This window comes from Homo sapiens, chromosome 1 (genome assembly GCF_000001405.40).
Source record: "Homo sapiens chromosome 1, GRCh38.p14 Primary Assembly".
NCBI classification, from domain to species: Eukaryota; Metazoa; Chordata; class Mammalia; order Primates; family Hominidae; genus Homo; species Homo sapiens.
The window spans coordinates 160,078,686-160,099,972 of record NC_000001.11 but is presented as its reverse complement, the minus strand read 5'-3'; the positions used below and the strand labels follow the sequence as shown (position 1 = coordinate 160,099,972).

Sequence of the window (21,287 nt, the reverse complement as noted above, 5' to 3'; positions counted from 1 at the left end):
CACTGACAGCCACTCTGACAGCCTTGGCTTTGCAAACCTGGCCATCTCTTCTCCCCATTCTGGTCTCATCCTTCCTGCCCCTGCCCACTTCCCATCTTTACAGTTCAGGAAGAGACAGAGCACCTGGGAAGGGTGCCTCCTCCATTCTCCCACCTCCAGGGCAAGCCCCACTCTTCCTAGAACAGAGCAATGTTCATCTCTTCCCACTGTCACTGAACATAGAGACTCCTTCACCTAAATGCCAGGTCTAAACTAAGCCTCTTAGGAAGCAGTTCAAATAATAATTCAAAACCTAAAACAAAATAATCCTTATCTCCCATTTTGTGTTAGTTTCCTGTGCCAAACACTTTATGTACATTACCTATCATCACAATAACCCTTTGGGTGATGTGATCAACCTCAATTCAATTTGCAGAGGAGAAAACTGAAGTTGAAGGAGGTTAAACAACTGGGCTAGGATCACCCAACCCAGAAATGACGTCACATGGACGGCCCCCTCTCCTAATCCATTTTTCTTTTGGTTTTGCCCTCTGAGGGGGTGAAAAACAGGTCTCCAGTGACCTTCTGGATCCTGGAAGCGCCCTTCAGCTCAAACCCTTCGCATTCAGGAACTCCTGGCTTCCGCCAACCCCTACTTCAGCAGGGTTTGCAGCGAGGACTATGGCTCAGAGCAAATAACTGAATTCTAAATGCGTGGTCACAGTCACCTCGCCAATCCCAGGGACCCTGCACCCAACTCTCCAGGAAAGGCTGGCAGGTGCGGGGTGGAATGCGCTCTGTGCGAGGGTGGGTGGGAATTTCGATGCGCAGAGGTGCAGTTAGCTCACTCCTGCGGGGGCCTCGGGCGGAGCCAGGGCCAGGGGCGGGGCGAGGCCGGGGTCCAGGGCGGAGCCAGGATTGGAGGCTGACGTTAGCCCTGCGGGGACGGGGAAGGGGTGCGGCTTGGGACTGGGGCGGGGCCGGGGCCCGGGGAGGAGCCAGGATTGGAGTCCGACTGTAGTCCTGGTGGGGCGGGGCGGGGGAGGGGCCGGAACTGGGGCTGGGCCGAGGCCCGGGGCGGATCCAGGGCTGGAGTCTTGGCGGGGCGGGGCGGGGAGGGGCGGGGCCGGGGCGGGGCTGGGACTCGATGCGACTCAAAGGTGAGTTTCGAGGGGCGGGGCGGGGCCGGGGCCAGGTGCGGAGCAAAGGCCGGAGTCTGGCGGGGGTGGGGCAGGCAGGGCCAAGGCTGGGTCCGGGGCGGGGCGGGCCTAGACGGGGCGGTGGAAGGGGCGGTGCCGGGGCGGGCCGGGGCGAGAATGGTTTCAGAACTGCCGAGGGCTGGAGGGAAAGCAGCGGGAGGGGCGGAGGGAGGGGATTCGGCAGCTCCAGTTCAGCTCGCTCGGCGCACCCACGCCTCGCTGCCCCGCTTCCTGCCCTCAACCTGGGCATGCGCCCCCCACCCTTCCGGCCCCCCAGAACCCGCGCCATCCCCCGGAGCCTCCCCAGAGCTGGCCGCGCAGGATGGGCGCCCTCAGGCCCACGCTGCTGCCGCCTTCGCTGCCGCTGCTGCTGCTGCTAATGCTAGGTAAGCCAGGCCCCCGTTCCGGTTCCCGGCCCTGCCGGGCAGGTGCCTGCCATCCAGCACCCCCCTAGCATTTCGGGGCTCCTCACATCCTCCTCCGTCAGGGGTACCTCCAGCCTCCCCGGGGTCGGCGTCCAGCTGCGCTTTGTGGCTGTCCGCCGAGCCAGTCTTGGGAAGAGTGCAGGCTCCCCAGCTCTAAGCCAGGGACTGGGGCGTAGAGAGGACCCACTAAGGTGCTGCCCCAGGCACTGCTCGGCCTCCCGGGGCAGGCCACACATCTCAGCTAGCATACCCACGTACTGGGGTCGCTGCACCAAATGCTGCGACTCCTTTCTGCCCCACACTCAGCTCCAGGCCTGGCCTTGGGTGCCCGCCCTACGAGGGCAGTGCCTGCCCAGCTTCATAATTGCCCCAGAGTTGGCTGGAGGCCCAGAGGCCAGTTCTGCCCACGATCTTTGAAGTAAGTCTCTCCCAGTTGCGCTCCACGCACTTCATCAACTGGGGGCAGTTCCCTCTCTCACCCCCATCTCCACCCTGGGTTGGGTCCCTCTTTGCCCTTCTTCCTGTCTCCCAAATGGCACTTGGCTCTGCAGCCACCCATCAGTTTTCACACCGCTTAGTTCCAGCTTCCTTGCCTCAGGAGAAACCAGGTTCCATGGAGACTGATCCTGGGATCTCCAAGCACCTTGTGCCTGCTGTGGTGGGTGTTCATGGTGGGGTGTTCTGGGCCAATCTTGCATGGATGCATGGGGATAATGACAGTGGAATTGTTTTTGGCCTGAACTGGAGGGCTCCCTGTAGGAGGTGGTCTGGGGAAGAGTATGGCATGGAGACAGTGAAACTGCCAGTACAGATGTTGATGAGGCTGAAGCCCTTGAAATGAGAGTGAAGCGTGGGGGTGGGGATGGTGACTTCAGAGCTGCTGTCGTCAAGGCAGAGGCTGAAGGTAGCCCCAGCTGCCTGTTTCTAGACCAGAGCTCCACAGTGGCACCAAGCAAAGCCTTCCCCTGCTGCAGGTCCCTGGGCCCTGCAGGGTTAGGATGAGTCCTCTCCCTGGTCCCTGGGCAGGTGGCAGGAGGATGTACAGAGAGGAAGGCGCTGTGGGGCCTGGGTTGCCTAGCACTTGGTGTGTTTTCCCCAGTGGGCAGCATGGAGCAGGGAGGAGCCCAGGGAGGTGGGGAAGTGCTGGCCTGTGTTTGAAAAAGGAGCACGCAGAGGTCTGAGCACCCACTGCCTGTGGGCACTTACATTCATTTCACAAATGAGGAAAATGAAGTAACTTGCCCCAGAGAGCACATTTAGTGAGTGTTGGGGCTAGGATTTGAACACAGATCTGATTCCAAAGCAGGCCTCTTTGCTGTCCCTTTCCTTGCTGCGACTGATACAGAGGAGGGGAGAGAGAGCTGTGTGGCAACTGATTTCCTAAGGCTGTGGAGGTGACTTTCCCATGGGCATCTCCAAGCATCAGCAGTTGTGGAGCCAGGAAAATGGGAGGGGGCCTTCTGAGCAGTCTGCCCTGAGGCAGTCAGGGAAGGTGTCAGCTTGGCTGTCTCCACCGTCACTCTGATTATGAAACTTGCCTGGCCTGGGGCAGGGCTCTCCTGAGTCACATACGCACTCACACATGGTCAGAGCTGGAGCTCTTAGTTCTCCTCCAGTGTGGAAACTGAGGCCTAGGACAGAAAGAGACTGGATCCCAGGCCACACAGCTGGGCATGGGGATGGTGCTGGAATCCCACTTCCTGACTGGCAGCTGTGCCCTTAACAACAGACCATGAGTTCTCCCTGTGACCCAGCCAGAGGATGAAGGAAGGGGCTAGGAGCCCAGAAGCAGGGGTGGGGAAGTTCAGAGGAGCCGTTCTAGAGAAGCTGGAGGGTAGAGTTTGACCACAGACTCCTGGGCATTTTCCTCTAGCTCCTGCAGAAAGTCCATGGTATCCCCCTGGGAGGCCTAAAAGTGACACTCTGGTTGGTGAGGTCAGTCCCTTCAGGCCTGGCCTTGGAGTTTCCCCATCTTCCTCTCTGGTTTTGCCCCTCTGGAGGAGTGTGTGGAAGCCATCTAGGGACAGCATGATCTTGGCTAACATATTATACTTTTCCTGCCTTACCTTTCTCATCTGTAAAATTGGGAGAGGTGGGGAGGGGTGGCCTAGCCCTCTTTACATTGAGGTTCTGTGATCTTATCTAGTGGGAGCTATGGAAGGAAAGAAGGGAGGAGCTAAGCCCTCTAAGTCTGCCAGGAGTATCTGCTGGGGTAGGGTTGGGCATAGGGGTGGAGTAGGGTGAAGAAGAGAGGTTTGGCCTTTCTGAAGGGAGAGAGATGAGAAGGGGCAGCTGGGGATTTAGTGCCTCCCTACAGAAAGAGAGCCATATATGTAAATGAATGCATACCATGTGCAAATGAAGGCTTTTGTTAAGGAACTGGGGCAGGCACCTTCTGTATCTGCTGGGCTAGCCCGGAAGGTTGGCAGGCACTGGAGGAGGGGATCTTCTGCCCCCAATGGCCAGGGCAGAGCCTGGATCTTGCCCCAGAAGCCCCAGCTGCCTGGGCAGCCCTGTGGGGTGAGAGAAGCAGTGAGCTCATGGCGCAGCTGGAGAGGGGAGGGCATTGTGTGGTGAGAACTGACTGGGCCTGTGCCCTTTCCAGCTAGGGTCACTGGCTCCATTGTCTCGCCCAGGTGACACAGCTGAGCCAACTAGCACTTCTGAGCAAGACTGCCAGCTCCCCTCAAGCAAAGGAGAGGGACATGTAGTCTCAGAGTCCCCTAGCCAGAAGGCTCCCCTTGCCAGGTGCTGAGGAAGGAATGGCAGACATGGAGGTGGGTGAGTGGCAGGGACAGATCAAGGTTCAGTTGGAACCAAGGCCTGGTTAGGTCAGGAATCAGATGTACTCCTTTCTGCCTTCAGGTGCTCTGCTTCTAGTCCGCCAGAAATGGGATGCATCTGGATGCCAAGGCAATCCTGGGCCCATGCCACCTCCTTGAGATCCAGGTGTCTTATATCACAGCATCCCTTTCCTATTCTCAGAACAGGGTCCAAGCTGTGGACAAGCTTTCCCAGGTCTCCTTTCCTTTTGTAGGCAGAGATCAAGAATGGTGCTTGTGGCGGCAGAGGGCATGGAATGAGGAACCAGGCATCTCCAACTCCTTCTGCCTTTCCCTACAGGAATGGGATGCTGGGCCCGGGAGGTGCTGGTCCCCGAGGGGCCCTTGTACCGCGTGGCTGGCACAGCTGTCTCCATCTCCTGCAATGTGACCGGCTATGAGGGCCCTGCCCAGCAGAACTTCGAGTGGTTCCTGTATAGGCCCGAGGCCCCAGATACTGCACTGGGCATTGTCAGTACCAAGGATACCCAGTTCTCCTATGCTGTCTTCAAGTCCCGAGTGGTGGCGGGTGAGGTGCAGGTGCAGCGCCTACAAGGTGATGCCGTGGTGCTCAAGATTGCCCGCCTGCAGGCCCAGGATGCCGGCATTTATGAGTGCCACACCCCCTCCACTGATACCCGCTACCTGGGCAGCTACAGCGGCAAGGTGGAGCTGAGAGGTACTGGGCCCTGGGACGGGGTGGAGCCACACACCCTCTCAAGGCAGAAAGTCAAGGCCACAAGTGACCTATCTAGTTGCCCCTTAGGTTTTGTAGCCAAGGAACTTGAGGCCCAAAGAGGTTAAGTGATTTGCACAAAGTCACCCAATAACTCAGTGGCTGATGTGGGACTCAAACCCAGAGTTCCTCACCCAGGCCAGTGCTCATCTTATCATATTAAGACCCCTCCTGGGAGAAGAAATGTCCTTAAGTTGTCCAGTCCACTTTCCATTCCCAAGAACGAAGAAGACTGTTGGGTTGAATAGCCTCTACTCCTGGACAGTACAGGACCCAGATCTGGGAAAGAGAGTAGAGTTAGGGAAGGAGTTAGACCATGTGACATTCTCACTCTCTTAAGTTTCTTTGTCTTCTGAGAAGAAAGAGCCGCTTTTCTCAGTATTTCAAACAGAGGTCAGTCTCAAACATAAGGGTGAGTAGGCGATGGGCTGGTTCTATGAAATTCTACAAGTATTTATTGAGCGCCTGTGCTGTGCCCAGTACTGCCCTTGGCACCACTGAGTTACAGAAGAAATAATACAACATGCGATCTTTGCCCTCTGGGAGCTCACAGTTTATTTAGGGAGATAGGCTATACACAGGAAACAGTAACAAGGGCTGCCAGCTCCCAGCCCTCCCTCACTCCAGCTGTTCTCTCCAGTTCTTCCAGATGTCCTCCAGGTGTCTGCTGCCCCCCCAGGGCCCCGAGGCCGCCAGGCCCCAACCTCACCCCCACGCATGACGGTGCATGAGGGGCAGGAGCTGGCACTGGGCTGCCTGGCGAGGACAAGCACACAGAAGCACACACACCTGGCAGTGTCCTTTGGGCGATCTGTGCCCGAGGCACCAGTTGGGCGGTCAACTCTGCAGGAAGTGGTGGGAATCCGGTCAGACTTGGCCGTGGAGGCTGGAGCTCCCTATGCTGAGCGATTGGCTGCAGGGGAGCTTCGTCTGGGCAAGGAAGGGACCGATCGGTACCGCATGGTAGTAGGGGGTGCCCAGGCAGGGGACGCAGGCACCTACCACTGCACTGCCGCTGAGTGGATTCAGGATCCTGATGGCAGCTGGGCCCAGATTGCAGAGAAAAGGGCCGTCCTGGCCCACGTGGATGTGCAGACGCTGTGTAAGTGCCACTTATACATCCCACTGTGGGAGCTGGGAGGGACAGTATCCTGGTGGGCACTGTGGCCACAGGGGGTACCAGATAGCCATCATCTGACTCCAAGGAACTCATCTTCCACAGAGTGAGCAGCCTTGCTAGCATTTCTCTCCCCCGGCCCTTGATGGGTTTTCTCTGCTCAGAAATTGGGTATAGAGATAGGAGGCCCATGCTGAGGGGTGAGATTCAAGCCCCTAAATAGAAAGATGGTCATACCTAGTGAGGGGGAGACAGGAGGTTTTGAAGTTGCTGCTGTCAAGTAGGAAACAGGAAGTTGGGGAATCGGGTGCCTCTGTGTCCCCTCCTGCCTCCATGACACCTCTTCCCCTACCTGTGTTTCAGCCAGCCAGCTGGCAGTGACAGTGGGGCCTGGTGAACGTCGGATCGGCCCAGGGGAGCCCTTGGAACTGCTGTGCAATGTGTCAGGGGCACTTCCCCCAGCAGGCCGTCATGCTGCATACTCTGTAGGTTGGGAGATGGCACCTGCGGGGGCACCTGGGCCCGGCCGCCTGGTAGCCCAGCTGGACACAGAGGGTGTGGGCAGCCTGGGCCCTGGCTATGAGGGCCGACACATTGCCATGGAGAAGGTGGCATCCAGAACATACCGGCTACGGCTAGAGGCTGCCAGGCCTGGTGATGCGGGCACCTACCGCTGCCTCGCCAAAGCCTATGTTCGAGGGTCTGGGACCCGGCTTCGTGAAGCAGCCAGTGCCCGTTCCCGGCCTCTCCCTGTACATGTGCGGGAGGAAGGTGAGAGGGGGCTGGGCCCTGGACGGGGTTCGAGGATTGTCAACCCCTTTTCCTTCTGTTTCCATGACCCCTCCCTCTCCGTCAGCTGTTTGCAGGCCACAGCCTCACGCTCCTCTTCTACCAAGATTGTGGGAATACCCTGAGTTTCCTGGGGCGGTGCTTGGCGGCAGCCCTAACCCCATGCTCCCTGGCCCTGCACCCTCTGACCCCATGTCCTTTGTTCTGCAGGTGTGGTGCTGGAGGCTGTGGCATGGCTAGCAGGAGGCACAGTGTACCGCGGGGAGACTGCCTCCCTGCTGTGCAACATCTCTGTGCGGGGTGGCCCCCCAGGACTGCGGCTGGCCGCCAGCTGGTGGGTGGAGCGACCAGAGGACGGAGAGCTCAGCTCTGTCCCTGCCCAGCTGGTGGGTGGCGTAGGCCAGGATGGTGTGGCAGAGCTGGGAGTCCGGCCTGGAGGAGGCCCTGTCAGCGTAGAGCTGGTGGGGCCCCGAAGCCATCGGCTGAGACTACACAGCTTGGGGCCCGAGGATGAAGGCGTGTACCACTGTGCCCCCAGCGCCTGGGTGCAGCATGCCGACTACAGCTGGTACCAGGCGGGCAGTGCCCGCTCAGGGCCTGTTACAGTCTACCCCTACATGCATGGTGAGTGACACCCCCTCCACCCTCCTCACTCTGCCTTCCTCCTGGCCTCTGCCACTGGCCTTCCCTTCCCATCTTCTGACCCTCCTGCTACTATCTCTCTCCTCCACATTATGTCACATGAAGTCTCAAAAAATCCAACTTCCAGCCCTGCAGTGCCCACCTGCACGGGGTCCTCTGTGGTTGATGCTGACTTGCATGCTGAGGGGGCAGGCTGTGGGCAGGGATGGGGGTGTCTGTGAATGGAGAAGGTGGGTTCAGAGAACTTGATGGGGAAAGCGCAGAGGCAAGTGTATGGGTGGAGGATGATGGCATCCTCTCTGAACAGTCATCCTCTCTCCCCCAGCCCTGGACACCCTATTTGTGCCTCTGCTGGTGGGTACAGGGGTGGCCCTAGTCACTGGTGCCACTGTCCTTGGTACCATCACTTGCTGCTTCATGAAGAGGCTTCGAAAACGGTGATCCCTTACTCCCCAGGTGAGGGAAAAGAACCCCCCAACCTTGTTTTCATTGGGCTTCCCACCCCCAAGTCCTGAACCAAGCTGCTCCCTCCCAGGCCCCACCTGGAGGAGGAGTAGGCAGCTCAGATCCACAGGGCCCTGTTAAGGGGTGGAGGCCGCGAGGGAGCCCCACTCAGGGCTCTCTGTCCTTAGCCCACACCGGGCACCCTTTTCAGGTCTTGCAGGTGTCGACTGTCTTCCGGCCCAGCTCCAAGCCCTCCTCTGGTTGCCTGGACACCCTCTCCCTCTGTCCACTCTTCCTTTAATTTATTTGACCTCCCACTACCCAGAATGGGAGACGTGCCTCCCCTTCCCCACTCCTTCCCTCCCAAGCCCCTCCCTCTGGCCTTCTGTTCTTGATCTCTTAGGGATCCTATAGGGAGGCCATTTCCTGTCCTGGAATTAGTTTTTCTAAAATGTGAATAAACTTGTTTTATAAAAAGCAGGCTTGGCTGTGTCTTCCCTACCATGAGACTGTAAAACGCTCAGGGTGCATAGTAGGGAGGTGGTTGGGGATTGACAACCTATTCTGGATGACCCAGGCCTCTCTTCCCACCACAAACACCATCTGGCCTCCATGGGCCATGCCACCCACCCCAGGAGGGGACACCTGGGTTCCATCTGCAGCCTGAACTGTCGGGGCTGAGACAACTCCTGATTGGACTCCTACTTGGGGAGGGAAGCATAGAAAAGGAGGGTAGGTTCCAGCTGCCTGTGGTCACCCCCGCACCAGCTTCTCCCATGTTAAAGGGCATGGGCCTCCAGGGGCAGTGCCTTTTCTGAGCTTCCCAGACTTTCCCCAACTCTTCCCACGTCTCATTCTCCTGGTCAGGCTAGTCTTGGACCTGACTCCTCCCACTAGGCCCTGGGGCTGAAATTGTTGTTCCTTCTGACCCATAGCAGCAGAATAGAAGCCTCAGAACACAACTGATACTCAGGCTGGGACAACAGGCAGTCAGGGGAGGGCCTGTGTGTCCACAGAGCCATTGCACCCACATGTACTCGCTGTACCTGCATATACCCTCTACCCGCATATACCCACTACACCTGCATATACCCGCTTCACCTGCCTGTACCTACCCTGGGGTCTCCTCCCTCCCACCCTTCAGCTTCACCCCTCCTCCAGTGCCCCAGGAGTTTCATGAATTTTCTTGCCTAAGGATTCTCTGATCCTAAAATTCTTACCTGCACGGCACCTTAAGAGGCATCTGGCAGGCCTCCTTCAGTTGTTATTTAAACATTTATTGAGCATTACGAGTTTGCTGTCATTTTTACAGATGAGGAAACTGAGGCCCAGATATGCGATTTGCCCAGAGTCATAGAGCTAATTAGCAAGTGTCAGGAGTAGGACCTAGGTCTCCTGACTTGTTGCACTGTACAGTGGTGCCCTGAGTGGTGACAGTGGCGAGGAGAGGTGTGGCAGGGTCTCAGTGACTTCAGCAGGCAGGAGGGGCCTTTCCAGACTGAGTTTCTCTGCTTGTTCAGCTGCAATGGGTTGGCTCCTGTGTGAGTGCGTGTGTGTGGATACCAAGTAGCCCACCCGCTCTTGTCCAGACCCCCCTGTTTTACTGAAACCCAAATGAATCCCCATTCTCCATCCCAACATCTGTTCTTAGGGGACCAGTCAATGCCAGGCTTCAGGAATCTCATCTTTGATGACAGGGCCCCAGTGGCCCTGTGACCTGAGGCAAAGATATCCGTGTTTTGACTGAAAGGAAGGGACTGGGACTTGGGTCCTCTCTGAGTGAACCCCAGCTGTCTGGGCTGCTTCCATGGCCCCCTTTCTTGCTTCCAGAGGACCCATAGGGCCCTGGCTATGCCCATAGGACCCTGGCTGTGCCCCATAGGACCCTATCTGCCCAGCCTGGAACAGAGAAGACTGGAGTGCTTTCCCCAGGGGGCTTATGAAAGGGCAGGAGTGGGATGTGGCCAGGGCCAAGGGAGGAGGTCCTTGCTGGGCCAGTGCTGCTGTGTGGGAGACAGGCGCTGTCCCAGGGCAGGCTCTCCTGGGCCTATGCTTTTCTCCAGGCCAGCTTCAGGTCCCTTCCACCCCTCTGCCTCTCTCAACTTGCAGTTGTTCTCCCTCACTATCCAGGAAGCTGCCGCTGGTGACTGGGATGTGATCAGGAAGCAGGTGGAGGTGGGGTGAGAATATGCGTCTTTGGGACCCCCTGGCCCAATTGGGCTGACAGCAGGCTGCAGACACATCCAGATGTTCTAACTCCTATCGCTTCTCTCCGATTTTCTCCCACATTCAATCTTGCCTCCAGTCCTACAAGGGGTTCTGTCCTTTGCCCCTAAAACTCTTCCTGCTCCACCTCCCCCCGACCTCCCCAGGAGCCCCCTCAAGTCCTTCTGATGGCTTCATCTCTCTGTCGGGCCTGCTCAGCTTCCAGACACCCCCTCCACTTGTCACTGCCCTGTTTCCATTGATGGTTGAGTTTCTGGGCCCAAAGTTAAACTCTTCAGCCTGGGCTTCGGGTCCCTTTCCCACACATAAAACCCCACCCTTCACATTTCTCTGTCTGCTCCTGTGAGGATCCTCAGCTTCTTCTCAGCTTCTCTTCATCTTCCTCTCAGCTACTCCTCAGTTTCTATGCCCCATGTCCTGAAACGACTTCCAAGTATTCACTTAGAGCACAGGTTCTCAAAGTGTGGTCCTCAGTCCAGCAACAGCAGCATGACCTGGGGACTTCTTAGGAATGCATGGTTTTGGTCCCCACCTCTTGGGTCAGAAACCCTTGGAGTGGAGCCCAAAAATCTGTGTTTTACCAAGCCCTCCAGGTGATTCCAACGCACACTGGAGATTTCTAACTCCTGACTTACATATTCCCTATGCCTTACACTGGCCCCAGCCTTCTGATCACCCACACTCCCCTACCCTCCACGGGACTGCACAGGTTGTCAGTTTGAATTATCCCTCGTTCAGTCACCACAGGTAGATTCCTCTGTTTTCCCAGGTGCCCCTTATTTTGAGGACAGGAACCAGGTTTTTGAATGTCCACTCCACATGGCACCCAATCAGTGATGTGAATGACTGTGCCCCAAGGACACACTGCTTTCCTAGGGGCTCCCTGTTTCCCAGCTCTAGTGAACCCACTTTCTAGATCTCTCTCCTGGCCCTTCCTCCCCAGAACCTCTCTCTCTCTCTTCCTGCCTGTGCCTGATACCTGTAAGATCTCACTCCACTGTAAGAAAATAGCTATCCCTGGTTTTCCTTTCCCAGGCCCCTCTCCAGGCCCCAGCTCAGGCACCTCCCCGCTCTGCCTGCTTCCCTGAACTTGCGGACTAAGGTCATTCACACCTTGCTGAGCCCCTTGCACGCCTTCATCCTGGTGAGGGTGGAGCTAGGAGGGCACCCTCCTCATGTGCCCATCTTGGTCCGGCTCCTTTCTCCTTCACTTCAGCTTGGCCTACCGTGTCATTAGACAGTTGTGCCATATGTGGGGAGGCTGGCAGAAGAGGTGACTGGGGACTGCAATCCATCCTATACTCTGCTCCCCAAGCCATGCACCCTGGTTTGGGGCTGTATCTGTCTGGAGGAAAAGGGTTCCTTTTTAAAATTTGCACAGGGGTGTTCTACAGGTTAGTGGCAGCCCTGAGTGGACCAGTTGTCTACTGGTCCATCTATGTATCTGTCAGCTGTCTTTATCTGCTACCATCTTCCCATCCAACCCCCAAAAGTCCATCATTCTGTCCATCCATCCACTCATGAACAAATGTGAAGGTCAAACACAGACTGGCATTTTCACCCGGCCCCACCCTCCATTTCCCTGAAATCAGGACCCCTCCCTTCCATACTGGTTTCTAGACTTGAGGTTCTGGGGGACGGGGACTTTCCAACTTTAGCACATTTCCAGGGGCTTTGCCTTCCTCCTCCTCCTCCTCCTCCACCACCTCCGATATGCAGTTCCCCATGTATCTGTGTCTGGCCCCCGGTCTGCCACAGGGGTCTGGAGGAAGCTGGTCACACCTTGGACTCACTCTCTGGGGGTGGCAGGCAGCCATTCTGCTCCTTGTCAGCCCCAGCTTCCCCACCCGCCCCCTCCCCCGCCCCCTCCTCCTCCACCTTCTCATCCAGCCGGCTGGGGATGGACCAGTAGAGATGGGCATCAAGGCGGGCGGCAGCCTCTGCCAGCTCTCGAGCACTGCACGAAGGTGTGGGCACCTCAAAAGTCTCGTGAAAGCTGGCATAGTCCACTTCGTAGAAGCCGTCCTCCAGAGTCAGCACTGACGTGAAGCGGTGGCCCCACAGCACCTCGTCTACCAGGTAGGAGCTCCGAGCTTGGCATGTCATTCCTGGGAGGAGGGGCACCGGTCAGGGGGAATCTCAGCTCCAGGCTTCCCTCTCCTCTTCTCATTCCACAACCCTACTCCCAGCACCCTCCCTTCTATTCCTTCCTAAGGGCTCCCACCTCCCTTTGGTCCAGTCCATTTCCCCCCCTCCCTAGCTCCTGTTCTTACCCAGCTCCCTCGTGTCTTCTCCATTTGCCCCAACTCCTCTTAATGTCCAGCTCTTTTTTCCCCTCCTGTCATTTGGTGATGCCAACCAAAAAAAGCTTAACCTTGAAACTAACCTTAGGGATCCTCTAGTCCAACTTCTCACTCCATACAGGGCTCCCCAAAGGAGCATTTCTAACAATGGGCATCTAGCTTATACTTGATTACCTCCCAGGATTGATAGCTCACCACTTCATAAAGGGCCCACTCCTTTGTATGATAGCTCTAATAGTTGGGTTGTTCTTTATACAGAGCTAAAACCTGTACCCTGGGATTTCCAACTCTTGGCTTCATTCCCCTCCCACTTCACAGTCCTCTGAGTATCTGAAAACAGGAGTCTCAGATTCCCTCATGTTTTCTCTCTTGACTTAACATCCCTGGCTTCCTCCACGATTCCTCATTTGACCTGGTTTTCCAGAACTCTACTTTTTTGATTACAAGCCAGAATGGCCAAGGAGGGCCCTTTAAGCATTTTGAGTATAGTAAATTTTCCAACTGTGGCCTGCTCCGTGCATAAGAGAGCGCGCACCATCTCTCTCTTCTGGCCATGATGCTTTCACTAATAGGGCCCAGGATAACATTACATAATCATTTTGGAGGCTGCATCACATTGCTACGACATCAAGACTGTAGCCAACTAAAACTCCCAGTTCTTTTTTCACCAGTGCTCTTCCATGCTGTGCTTACATAAGTGATTTTTTTAAAGCCTAAATGTAGAATTTTATATTTATTCATTTTAAATGTCATCTTGCTGGGTTTTGGCTCATTATTCTTGCTTTTCAAAAGCGTTTTGAATCCTGACTGTCTCACCCAAAATATTACCATCCTTTCCAGCTTTATCTCTCTAGAAAAACAGACAGATTCCTATCCTCATCTCCTCTGTCCTGGTCCTCCCTGCCCGGGGCTTGTGTCCTATCTTCCTGTTGGGCTGGTGCACCCCTCAGGGCAGGTCATTCTCCTTTCTGCCACAGGGTCTTGCCCCCAACCCATATCCATCTCGGAACAAGGGGAAACAGAAGAGTGAACATTAGCTAACCGGAGAGTGGCTGTCAACTCGGAAAGCCTGGCGCTGAGACATTGGTATTCCTCGGTGAAGTTGGAATAGAAAGTATCCAGTGGGAGAGAAGAGAAAGAGGCATAAGGGACACTGGGGAGAGAAGGGCTTCGAGGAGGAGAGGGCAGGGCTGGGGGTACAAAGAGAAAAGAGGGCCGGGCAGCAACTTCCCTGGAGGGTGAGGGGCCTGCCTGAGATACTGGCAGAAAAGGAGTGACAGCTGGAGAGAGAGGAAAGGGAACGGGGTGAGTGGGGGAAGAGGAAAGAGTCGGGGTGAAGCAGGAATGGGAACAGTGATGCGGAGCTGGGGTTGGGGTGTGAAGCGGAGTCTCAGCCTAAAGGGGCCAGGGAAAGGATCTGAAGGCACCAGCTTGTCAGCGAAGCCGGCAGGGAGCATCAGCAGCTCTGGCGTCAGAGGAGGGACTGCGGCGCCCCCTAGTGGGCCTTTGGTCCTCCACCCGCAGTTTCCTCATCCTCATCTATCCTCTAGATCTCAAGTCCTAAGTGACCTCCTTTGCGACTCCTGTAACACTGGTCTTTTTTCACCTGCTCCCAAAGCCTTCACTGTGTAGGTCTGGGTTGGACTTATTGACATCACAGATGAGTTGCCAGTTCCTTTTGGAAAAGAGCTAGAAAAGGTAACATCATCTATATCCCTTGTCAGTGGAAATGGATGAATTGGGAAACCGAGGTACAAGTGAGACTAGGTATTAAACTCCCCTCAAGATCCGGCCTAGAAATAACTCAGGCAATGGAAAACCTTCACCGTCAAATTCCAGGGGCCTGAACCTGACTGCAGTGAGAAAACCCCTGAACCTAACCCCTCCTTCCAACTCGGGACCACTAAACATTGAAGCCACATTGCCTGTGTCCAATCCAGGCATGGCCACTTATTGGCTTAGGAAAGTGGACAACTTCCTTAATTTCTCATTGGAGCAATCTCATCTCTAAAAAGTGAGCACAATAACAAGAAGTTACCTTCAGAGGGTTCTTGTTAGGATTAAATCGACTCAGAGGTAGAAAGTGCTTTGGAACTGCGCATGACACAGGGTGAATACTGGGCGAGCACTAGCTATTATTACTGTCCCTATTCCAAGTGACACATTCCTCTGGGCCCAGGGCCCCACGCCAGTGCCATTTCGGAGAATTCCTCCAAGCTTTCTCTTGGCCTTCTGCGGCGTTGCTCGGTTCCACTCCCGCCTCCGACCCCTGTCTCACCTCACTGTCTCATCCTCCACCAGCCCCTCCATCCATCCTCCCCAGCTCCCCTGGCCCCTAGTCTCGCCCCTGCCTTCCTCGGTCCCGCCCACCCTCTGCCAACCCCGCTCCCCTCCCCAGGCCTGCTCGCACCCGTGGCTTCCACCATGCCCTCGAGGATAACGACGATCTCGAAGTCGTCCCTCTCGAGGGCACGGCGCGACGCCTCCCAGAAGGGGCTGGCGGCGTCGATCTCGTGGCTGATAACCAGCGGCGAGACGAGGAAGAGGCGGTCGTCTCCCGTGTCGAAGCCCACGCTGAGGTCGGTCTGGTGCAGCGGGATGAACTCGCCCTCCAGCGTCTGGCGCGAGCGGATGAGCTTGGCGCGGATGGAGGCCTCCACTATGTGTGAGGAGCGCAAGTCGCCCACGCGGAACATGAGGCAGAGGCGCCCGTCGCGCAGCGACACCACGGCGTGCGAGGAGAAGACGAGCGTGGCTGCGCGCTTGTTGGGCTGCGAGATCTTGACGAACATGCAGCCCACCATGAAGGCGTTCACCATGGAGCCCAGGATGGCCTGCAGCAGCAGCAGCACGATGCCCTCGGGGCACTGGTCGGTGATGACGCGGTGCCCGTAGCCGATGGTGGTCTCGGTCTCGATGGAGAAGAGGAAGGCGGCCACGAAGCCGTTGAGGTTGTTGACGCACGGCGTCCACGCGGTGTCCTCCAGGTGCTCCAGGTCGCCGCGGCCGTAGGCGATCAGCCACCAGATGGCGCCGAAGAAGAGCCAGGTGAGCGCGTAGGCCAGGACGAAGAACAACAGGCTGAGGCGCCACTGCAGGTCCACCAGCGTGGTGAACAGGTCCGTCAGGTAGCGGTATGTCTCGCGCACGTTGCCCTGCTGCACGTTGCACCGGCCATCCTTCTCCACGTAGCGCTGGCGGCCGCGGCGCCGCGGCGGCTCCTCCTGCCCGGGCGAGAAGGCCGCGTTCTCCTGCGCCATGGCGGCCGCGTCAGGGCGAGCGCTGCGGGCGCCTGGAGTGCGGCGGGGGCCCGAGCTGCTGCCACCTGCCGCGCGTCGCTGGGCGCCTAGGCGGCGTCGGGGGTCCTGGAGGGGCTTAATAAAGGTTTGCCGAATGAGTGGCCCCTCGGGAGATGGGGAGGCACGGGGCATCAGGGCCAGCACCGAGCCCTGGGGGGCCCTGGGCGAGTCCCTTCGTGTTGCCTGGCCTCTATTTCTGGGAATAACACATTCAGCCCTAACTGCCCCCCAGGCTCAGAAAGTTGTGAGGGTCAAATGGAATGATGTACCTGAACTGGATAGAACTGTGCAAGTTCCACGATGATTTTCAGGGGAAGGAGGTACCAGATATTTTGGTGCCATCACCTCCAGCTGGGGTGTGCAGCACCTCAGGGGCAGCCCCGGGGCCAAAGACCCAGGCCCAGATCCCCCTAGTGATTTCCTGAAATCAATAGACTGGGGGCTTTTTGGGGAGGGGGGCAGGCGGGTAATGGAGCCCTCCCTGCCCTAAGGACTTCCACCATCCCTTCCCCAGCTGTAGCCAGTGCAGCCACCAATGGCTCTCCTCGCAGGCTGTTTTGAAGTTCACCCCAAGACTGATACACAGTCTTTCTCATTCTTCCCTCCTTGGACCTCACTCACTCCGCTCCATTCCCTCCCCTCAACATGCTTACAAACGAGAAAGAAATGAAAGCTGTGGAAAGTCAGTGGAAACCCTCCAGTGCACAAGGGTGGAACATTAGGAAATTCCCACTAGAAATCCTCCCTGAGACCTACCCACGATCACTGCTGCTCTTGGGCCAGCCTCATTTCCCTTGGGTTTTTTCTCCTAGTGGAGACAGCCTGCAAATGGGGAGGGGAACTGGAAGATCCCAACACAGAAGCCTGGGAAAGGAAGCCCAGAGTTATAAAGAGTTAGGCTCGTATCCCTCTGGGATCCTATTCTTCATGAGAGACATGGAATCAGATCAGGTGAAGCACTAAGCACCCACATTTATTTCCCCACTCCCTCTAGTTATATTTTCCCCCAGCCTCTTACTTCCCATGGACTATCCTAACACCAGCCCCGCCCCCACCTGCCATATGCCCCAAAGCCCACATTCCAAGCGAAGCCCACCTGATTTTTCTTCACATGCTTGCCTCTGAGGAGCTCTCTGAGCTGCAATCTGCTCTGAGAGAGGTCCAGAGCCCTTCCCCAAAGCACCCAGGGTCCTCTAGGAGATATGGACCATACAGGGAAAGGTTTAGAATAGGATTTGGGACTCTTCCACCTTCCCTTCTCTTTCCTGGGAATGATCCTCTCCTCCCACTCCACGGAAACGTGGGCTGGCTAGTGGGTGGGGGATGGAGGAGTGTGCCATAGGAACCACAGATGGCCTGGATGGTTGACCAGGTCCTGGGGAGAAACTGCCTGGGTATGTGACTCTAAACCTAGCACTCCAGCATCTTATGTTCTGGGGTGAGGTCCTCTGCAGTCAGCACTCTGGAGAGGGTGTGTGTGTGTGTGTTTGTGTGTCTTGGGGTAGAGAAGGTAGGAAGAGAAATCAAAATGAAATGGCTTTGAGCTTAGGGGCACCCCCTGCATTTATTGTCCATGGAGTCAGGGGACACAGGGTCCAAGAGCCCCATGGCAATGGAAGATTAGGGTTTCCCCTGCCCCCAACAATGGGCTTCCTTTTCCTTCCCTGAAGCTCAGATGTCCTCAGGAAGAGTAAGCATTGACTGGCTCAGAGACCCCAGGTCATGCAGAAAACGACCCTGCTCCCATTATCCTAGCTTTAGTCCCAGGTGGGCTTCCAGATGTTCTCTCAGGGTCTTAGGTAATCTGACCCCCAGTCGGCTTGCCTAGACAGATCTCTCTGCCCAGGGATGGGGAAGGAACCCCGATGTCGGATCACCCCCAGAACTCTCTCACTCTCCATTGCCCCAGGGATCTAGGTAAACCTTATTTTGAATGTGTCCCACATCCTGTCTTCCTGAGTGGGGGACTGCACTTTTCTCAGGGGAAGGAAAAGTGTGAAATTGTTACCTCTATCTCAAGATCAAGGACTTGATTTCTCCATCTTCCCTCCAAGAATTTCAGTTCCTCCAACCTACTCCTCATTTCTTGTGCATGCTATGACCCCTTTGCAGAAGATTGCAATACCACTTTTCCTGGGCCCCTCTTCCTCCCTCTAGAGAGCTGGGGAGTAAGGGGGCTCATTTTTTGGAAGGAGAGACCTGGTGAAAACTCCCCCAAGAACCAGCTCCTCCCAAACCCCCACTTGCCTTGGAAATAGGGGCCCAAACCCCAAGTCCCCCGCAACTCAACTCACAGCACGTGGAGAGGAGAGTAGCCGGCAGCAGAGACCCCTGGGGGGTGGCGTCCATGCCCCTGACACCGCCCCCCCCACGGGCCCCCCGAAGGGTGGGAGCCGCAGACACCGCTGTTTCTCCTAAATGTAGCGGCAGCTCTGACTAGGACTTGCTATCTGTGTCATCCCTACTTCCCAGGCTCCCCTGCTCCTCTCTTGTTTCCACGGCAACCAGTCTGGCGACAGCTCCAGAGCATCCCCCTCCCCTCCCCAGTCCTGGGTACCACTAGGGGTTGATCCAAACCACACGCCATAGCTATTTTTAGCCAAAGTCCCTCCTCCTGGACAACTCAGAGCTTGGCTCCTCACCCCCTCATAGGAAAAAAAAAAAAAGAAGAAGAAAGAAAAACAAAGCTGGCACGCTGGCTCTTTCCTAAGAAGCTCCTTCCTGGGGGAAAATACAAGCCCTCATGTATTTGAGAATAAGGTGCTAGGTTCCCTGGGGTTTCAGAGGGCCATCTGGTAGCTGGCAGCTCACCACCTTCAACATGGGTCTCTGCGTGCAGGTGCTGCTCTCAGGTCAGGCTGACCATCATGGTCTAGTTTTGGAGAGGCCATGGATCCAGAAGGCGGTAGCTAGAAGGAAAATAGATCTACTAAAGGAAGGGAGGCAGGGTCAGGGGTTCTAATTATTGCCACTGATTTGCACTGTGTCCCATAGGAGTCACTTCACTTCCCTGAGCCACAGTTATTCCATCTGTACCAGGGTGTGGACAAGAGCAAATATCCCCTTTCTGCCTGCTTCACAGAGTCAGCAGATCAAACGAAGAAAAAACAAACAAACAAAAACCAAAAAAACCACAAAGGGCTTTGAAATGTGTTTTATTCATAGCAAAAACCCTAGAAACAACCCAAATGTCCACCAGAGAGAAAAGCCTAGGTTAGGGCTTACTAAGTATTCACTCGGCAAACTTCTGCGGAGCCCAAGTGCCAGGCAGTGTGTTAGATGGGGTGGTTACAGAATGGGTGAGTCCCTGCCCACAAGGAGCTCATTAACCCAGGAGGGATAAAGACACACAAACACACAGTGGCTGCTGCTACTAATTCACTGAGCATGGGATATGAACGAGACACATGCCTCATGTCATCCCCATGGCAACTCTATAAGACAGGTGTTATTTTTCCCAGTTATAGATGAGGAAACTGAAACAGAGACATGTTAAGTAATTTATCGAATGTCACAGAGTTGGGCAGAGACAGGAGCCAAACTCCCACATCTGTATCACCTCATGCTTTGTAAATTGTTTTAAAAGAAGACTTCTTAAAGGGTAGTTTTAGATTCAGAGCAAAACTGAGAGGAAAGTTATAGAGATTTTCCGTATGCCCCCTGTCCCCACACATCCACCAGAATGGCACATTTGTTACAAGTGATGAAGCTACATTGACATCATAATCGCCCAAAGTCCATAGCTGACATTAGGGTTCACTTTTGGTGTTGTACACTCTGTGGGTTTGGACAAATATATAATGATGTGTATCCACCATTATAGTCTCATTGCTGTAAAAGTCCTCTATGCTCTGCCTAGTCAATCCCCCTTCCCTAACCCCTGGCAACAACTGCTCTTTTTCCTGTTTCCATAATTTTCCTTTTCCAGAATGTCATGTCGTTGGAATTGTACAATATGTAGCCATTTCAAATTGGCTTCTTTCACTTAGTAATGTAAATTTAAGGTTCCTCCATGTCTTTTCATGGCTTTGTAGTTCATTTCTTTTTGGCACTGAATAATATTCCATTTCAGGATGGCCATGGTTTATTTATCTATTTACCTACTGAAGGACATCTCGGTTGCTTTCAAGATTTGGCCATGATGAATACAGCTGCTATAAACATCCATCGGCAGATTTTCATGTGGACGTAAGTTTTCATCTCCTTTGGGTAGATACCAAGGAGCATGATTCCTGGATCGTATGGTAAGAGTATGTTTAGTTTTTTAGGAAACTGCCACACTTTCTTCCAAAGTAGCTGTACCATTTTGCATTCCCATCAGCCACGAATTCCTGTTCCTGTTGCTCCACATTCCTGCCAGCATTTGGTGTTGTCAGCCTTAGCCTAGTGTGCCTCAGTAATGTAATATCTGTGGAATATTAATATCATGGGTTACTGTAAAGCCATAATAATTGCTGTGTTTAAATATGTGAATGTGTATATAACACACTGTTACATAAAAAAGCAGAACCTAAAAATATTCTTAGAAATTGATCATGACTATATTGAAATAGCTTCAGGAACACTGATAAAAATCAGAACAAAATTTGGAGAAACAGAAATATCTTATTGTTTATTTTTCCCCAGGGAAATAATGAAGAGAAGAAAGTGGTTTACAAACGCAAAGTGTTGTTGCTGTTGTTATCAGTATTATTATATCCCAGATATGGATCTATTCTTATCCAGATCCTTTAAATTTGGATCAAGAAAATATGAGCTAGAGGAGCAGGAAGACATAGAGATGGACACGGAGGGCTAGAAGCTCCTGGAATGACCTGGCAAGGTGGGAAATTCGGTACTGGATAATATAAGCTCAGGAGGCAATGACTTGGGTTCAAATCCCACCTCTGTCCACTACTAGCTGGGTGAACCTGAGCAATTATTTAACCCGTTAAACCTCAGATTCTTCATCTAAAAAAAAGAAAACCATATTATTCATCTCTTAGAGGGTTGTCATGAAGACTACATAAGGCAATGCCTGACACATTGTTAGTACTCAGTAAATGCTAGCTACTGTCTTCCTCTTCCTCCTCCTCATTGTCTTCTTCATGGTCATCATCATTGTCACTGTCATCACCATCATCTCAGGGATGTCCTGAAAGCCCCACCCTGCCTGTGCCACCTTCCTCTGTTCTGGCACCACCCTGTGAGGCCTGCAGGGGGCGCCCCCGGTATACTGCCCTCTCCTCAGCTCTCTTGCTGGTGATTCTTGTTGTTCCAAGTGGAAATATCGAGTTTTCAGCCCGAGATTGGCATCAAGAGTGCTG

General features: G+C 54.8%; 2 protein-coding genes across 15 annotated transcripts, besides 5 other annotated features; one reads left to right on the top strand and one right to left on the bottom strand.

Annotated features, from left to right (window-relative positions):
• Nucleotides 505-8,634, top strand: IGSF8 (immunoglobulin superfamily member 8). 10 transcript variants are annotated; one of them, XM_017002839.2, is made up of 9 exons: nt 1,354-1,564; nt 2,182-4,380; nt 4,469-4,552; nt 4,727-5,104; nt 5,802-6,263; nt 6,642-7,049; nt 7,278-7,691; nt 8,035-8,165; nt 8,365-8,634. In XM_017002839.2, exons 4-8 carry the CDS (start codon nt 4,729-4,731, stop codon nt 8,148-8,150), a joined length of 1,776 nt encoding a protein of 591 aa, XP_016858328.1. In that variant the 5' UTR covers nt 1,354-1,564; nt 2,182-4,380; nt 4,469-4,552; nt 4,727-4,728; the 3' UTR covers nt 8,151-8,165; nt 8,365-8,634. The 10 variants fall into 10 exon arrangements, with proteins under 10 accessions (XP_016858325.1, XP_016858324.1, XP_016858326.1 ...); XM_017002836.2 differs by lacking the exons at nt 2,182-4,380; nt 4,469-4,552 and adding an exon at nt 505-757 and having other exon boundaries at nt 1,456-1,564; XM_017002835.2 differs by lacking the exons at nt 2,182-4,380; nt 4,469-4,552 and adding an exon at nt 1,102-1,139 and having other exon boundaries at nt 1,456-1,564.
• Nucleotides 770-1,599: a silencer, noted in NCBI's record as "silent region_1458". NCBI's record gives its function as "represses an Ori minimal core promoter by ATAC-STARR-seq in GM12878 lymphoblastoid cells {active_cell/tissue: GM12878}" and the evidence as "EXISTENCE:reporter gene assay evidence [ECO:0000049][PMID:35858748]".
• Nucleotides 2,166-2,692: an enhancer, noted in NCBI's record as "H3K27ac-H3K4me1 hESC enhancer chr1:160067071-160067597 (GRCh37/hg19 assembly coordinates)". NCBI's record gives its function as "activates a minimal SCP1, AML or CMV promoter by ChIP-STARR-seq in primed H9 embryonic stem cells {active_cell/tissue: H9 hESC(primed)}" and the evidence as "EXISTENCE:reporter gene assay evidence [ECO:0000049][PMID:30033119]".
• Nucleotides 2,693-3,221: an enhancer, noted in NCBI's record as "H3K27ac-H3K4me1 hESC enhancer chr1:160066542-160067070 (GRCh37/hg19 assembly coordinates)". NCBI's record gives its function as "activates a minimal SCP1, AML or CMV promoter by ChIP-STARR-seq in primed H9 embryonic stem cells {active_cell/tissue: H9 hESC(primed)}" and the evidence as "EXISTENCE:reporter gene assay evidence [ECO:0000049][PMID:30033119]".
• Nucleotides 3,222-3,748: an enhancer, noted in NCBI's record as "H3K27ac-H3K4me1 hESC enhancer chr1:160066015-160066541 (GRCh37/hg19 assembly coordinates)". NCBI's record gives its function as "activates a minimal SCP1, AML or CMV promoter by ChIP-STARR-seq in naive H9 embryonic stem cells {active_cell/tissue: H9 hESC(naive)}" and the evidence as "EXISTENCE:reporter gene assay evidence [ECO:0000049][PMID:30033119]".
• KCNJ9 (potassium inwardly rectifying channel subfamily J member 9) lies at nt 9,410-18,435 on the bottom strand. Of its 5 annotated transcripts, XM_047419848.1 has the most exons (4): nt 18,276-18,435; nt 17,078-17,174; nt 15,093-16,845; nt 9,410-12,487 (listed from the first exon to the last, which is right to left on the bottom strand). In XM_047419848.1, exons 3-4 carry the CDS (start codon nt 16,111-16,113, stop codon nt 12,156-12,158), a joined length of 1,353 nt encoding a protein of 450 aa, XP_047275804.1. In that variant the 5' UTR covers nt 16,114-16,845; nt 17,078-17,174; nt 18,276-18,435; the 3' UTR covers nt 9,410-12,155. The 5 variants fall into 5 exon arrangements, with proteins under 5 accessions (XP_047275804.1, XP_047275806.1, XP_047275800.1 ...); XM_047419850.1 differs by having other exon boundaries at nt 15,093-16,056; nt 16,738-18,435; XM_047419844.1 differs by having other exon boundaries at nt 17,078-18,435.
• Nucleotides 14,845-15,375: an enhancer, noted in NCBI's record as "H3K27ac-H3K4me1 hESC enhancer chr1:160054388-160054918 (GRCh37/hg19 assembly coordinates)". NCBI's record gives its function as "activates a minimal SCP1, AML or CMV promoter by ChIP-STARR-seq in primed H9 embryonic stem cells {active_cell/tissue: H9 hESC(primed)}" and the evidence as "EXISTENCE:reporter gene assay evidence [ECO:0000049][PMID:30033119]".
• Nucleotides 18,436-21,287: the final 2,852 nt, after the last annotated feature.

What these genes read in the sequence shown, in the direction of transcription:
- IGSF8 (XM_017002836.2), top strand. Translation starts at nt 1,501, where the DNA reads ATGGGCGCCCTCAGGCCCACGCTGCTGCCGCCTTCGCTGCCGCTGCTG. An exon ending in GCTGCTGCTGCTAATGCTAG is followed by an intron (nt 1,565 to 4,726) that starts GTAAGCCAGGCC and finishes CTTTCCCTACAG; the next exon opens with GAATGGGATGCTGGGCCCGG. An exon ending in CGGCAAGGTGGAGCTGAGAG is followed by an intron (nt 5,105 to 5,801) that starts GTACTGGGCCCT and finishes TGTTCTCTCCAG; the next exon opens with TTCTTCCAGATGTCCTCCAG.
- KCNJ9 (XM_047419844.1), bottom strand. Translation starts at nt 16,113, where the DNA reads ATGCCCCGTGCCTCCCCATCTCCCGAGGGGCCACTCATTCGGCAAACC. An exon ending in GGGCATGGTGGAAGCCACGG is followed by an intron (nt 12,488 to 15,092) that starts GTGCGAGCAGGC and finishes CCCTCCTCCCAG; the next exon opens with GAATGACATGCCAAGCTCGG.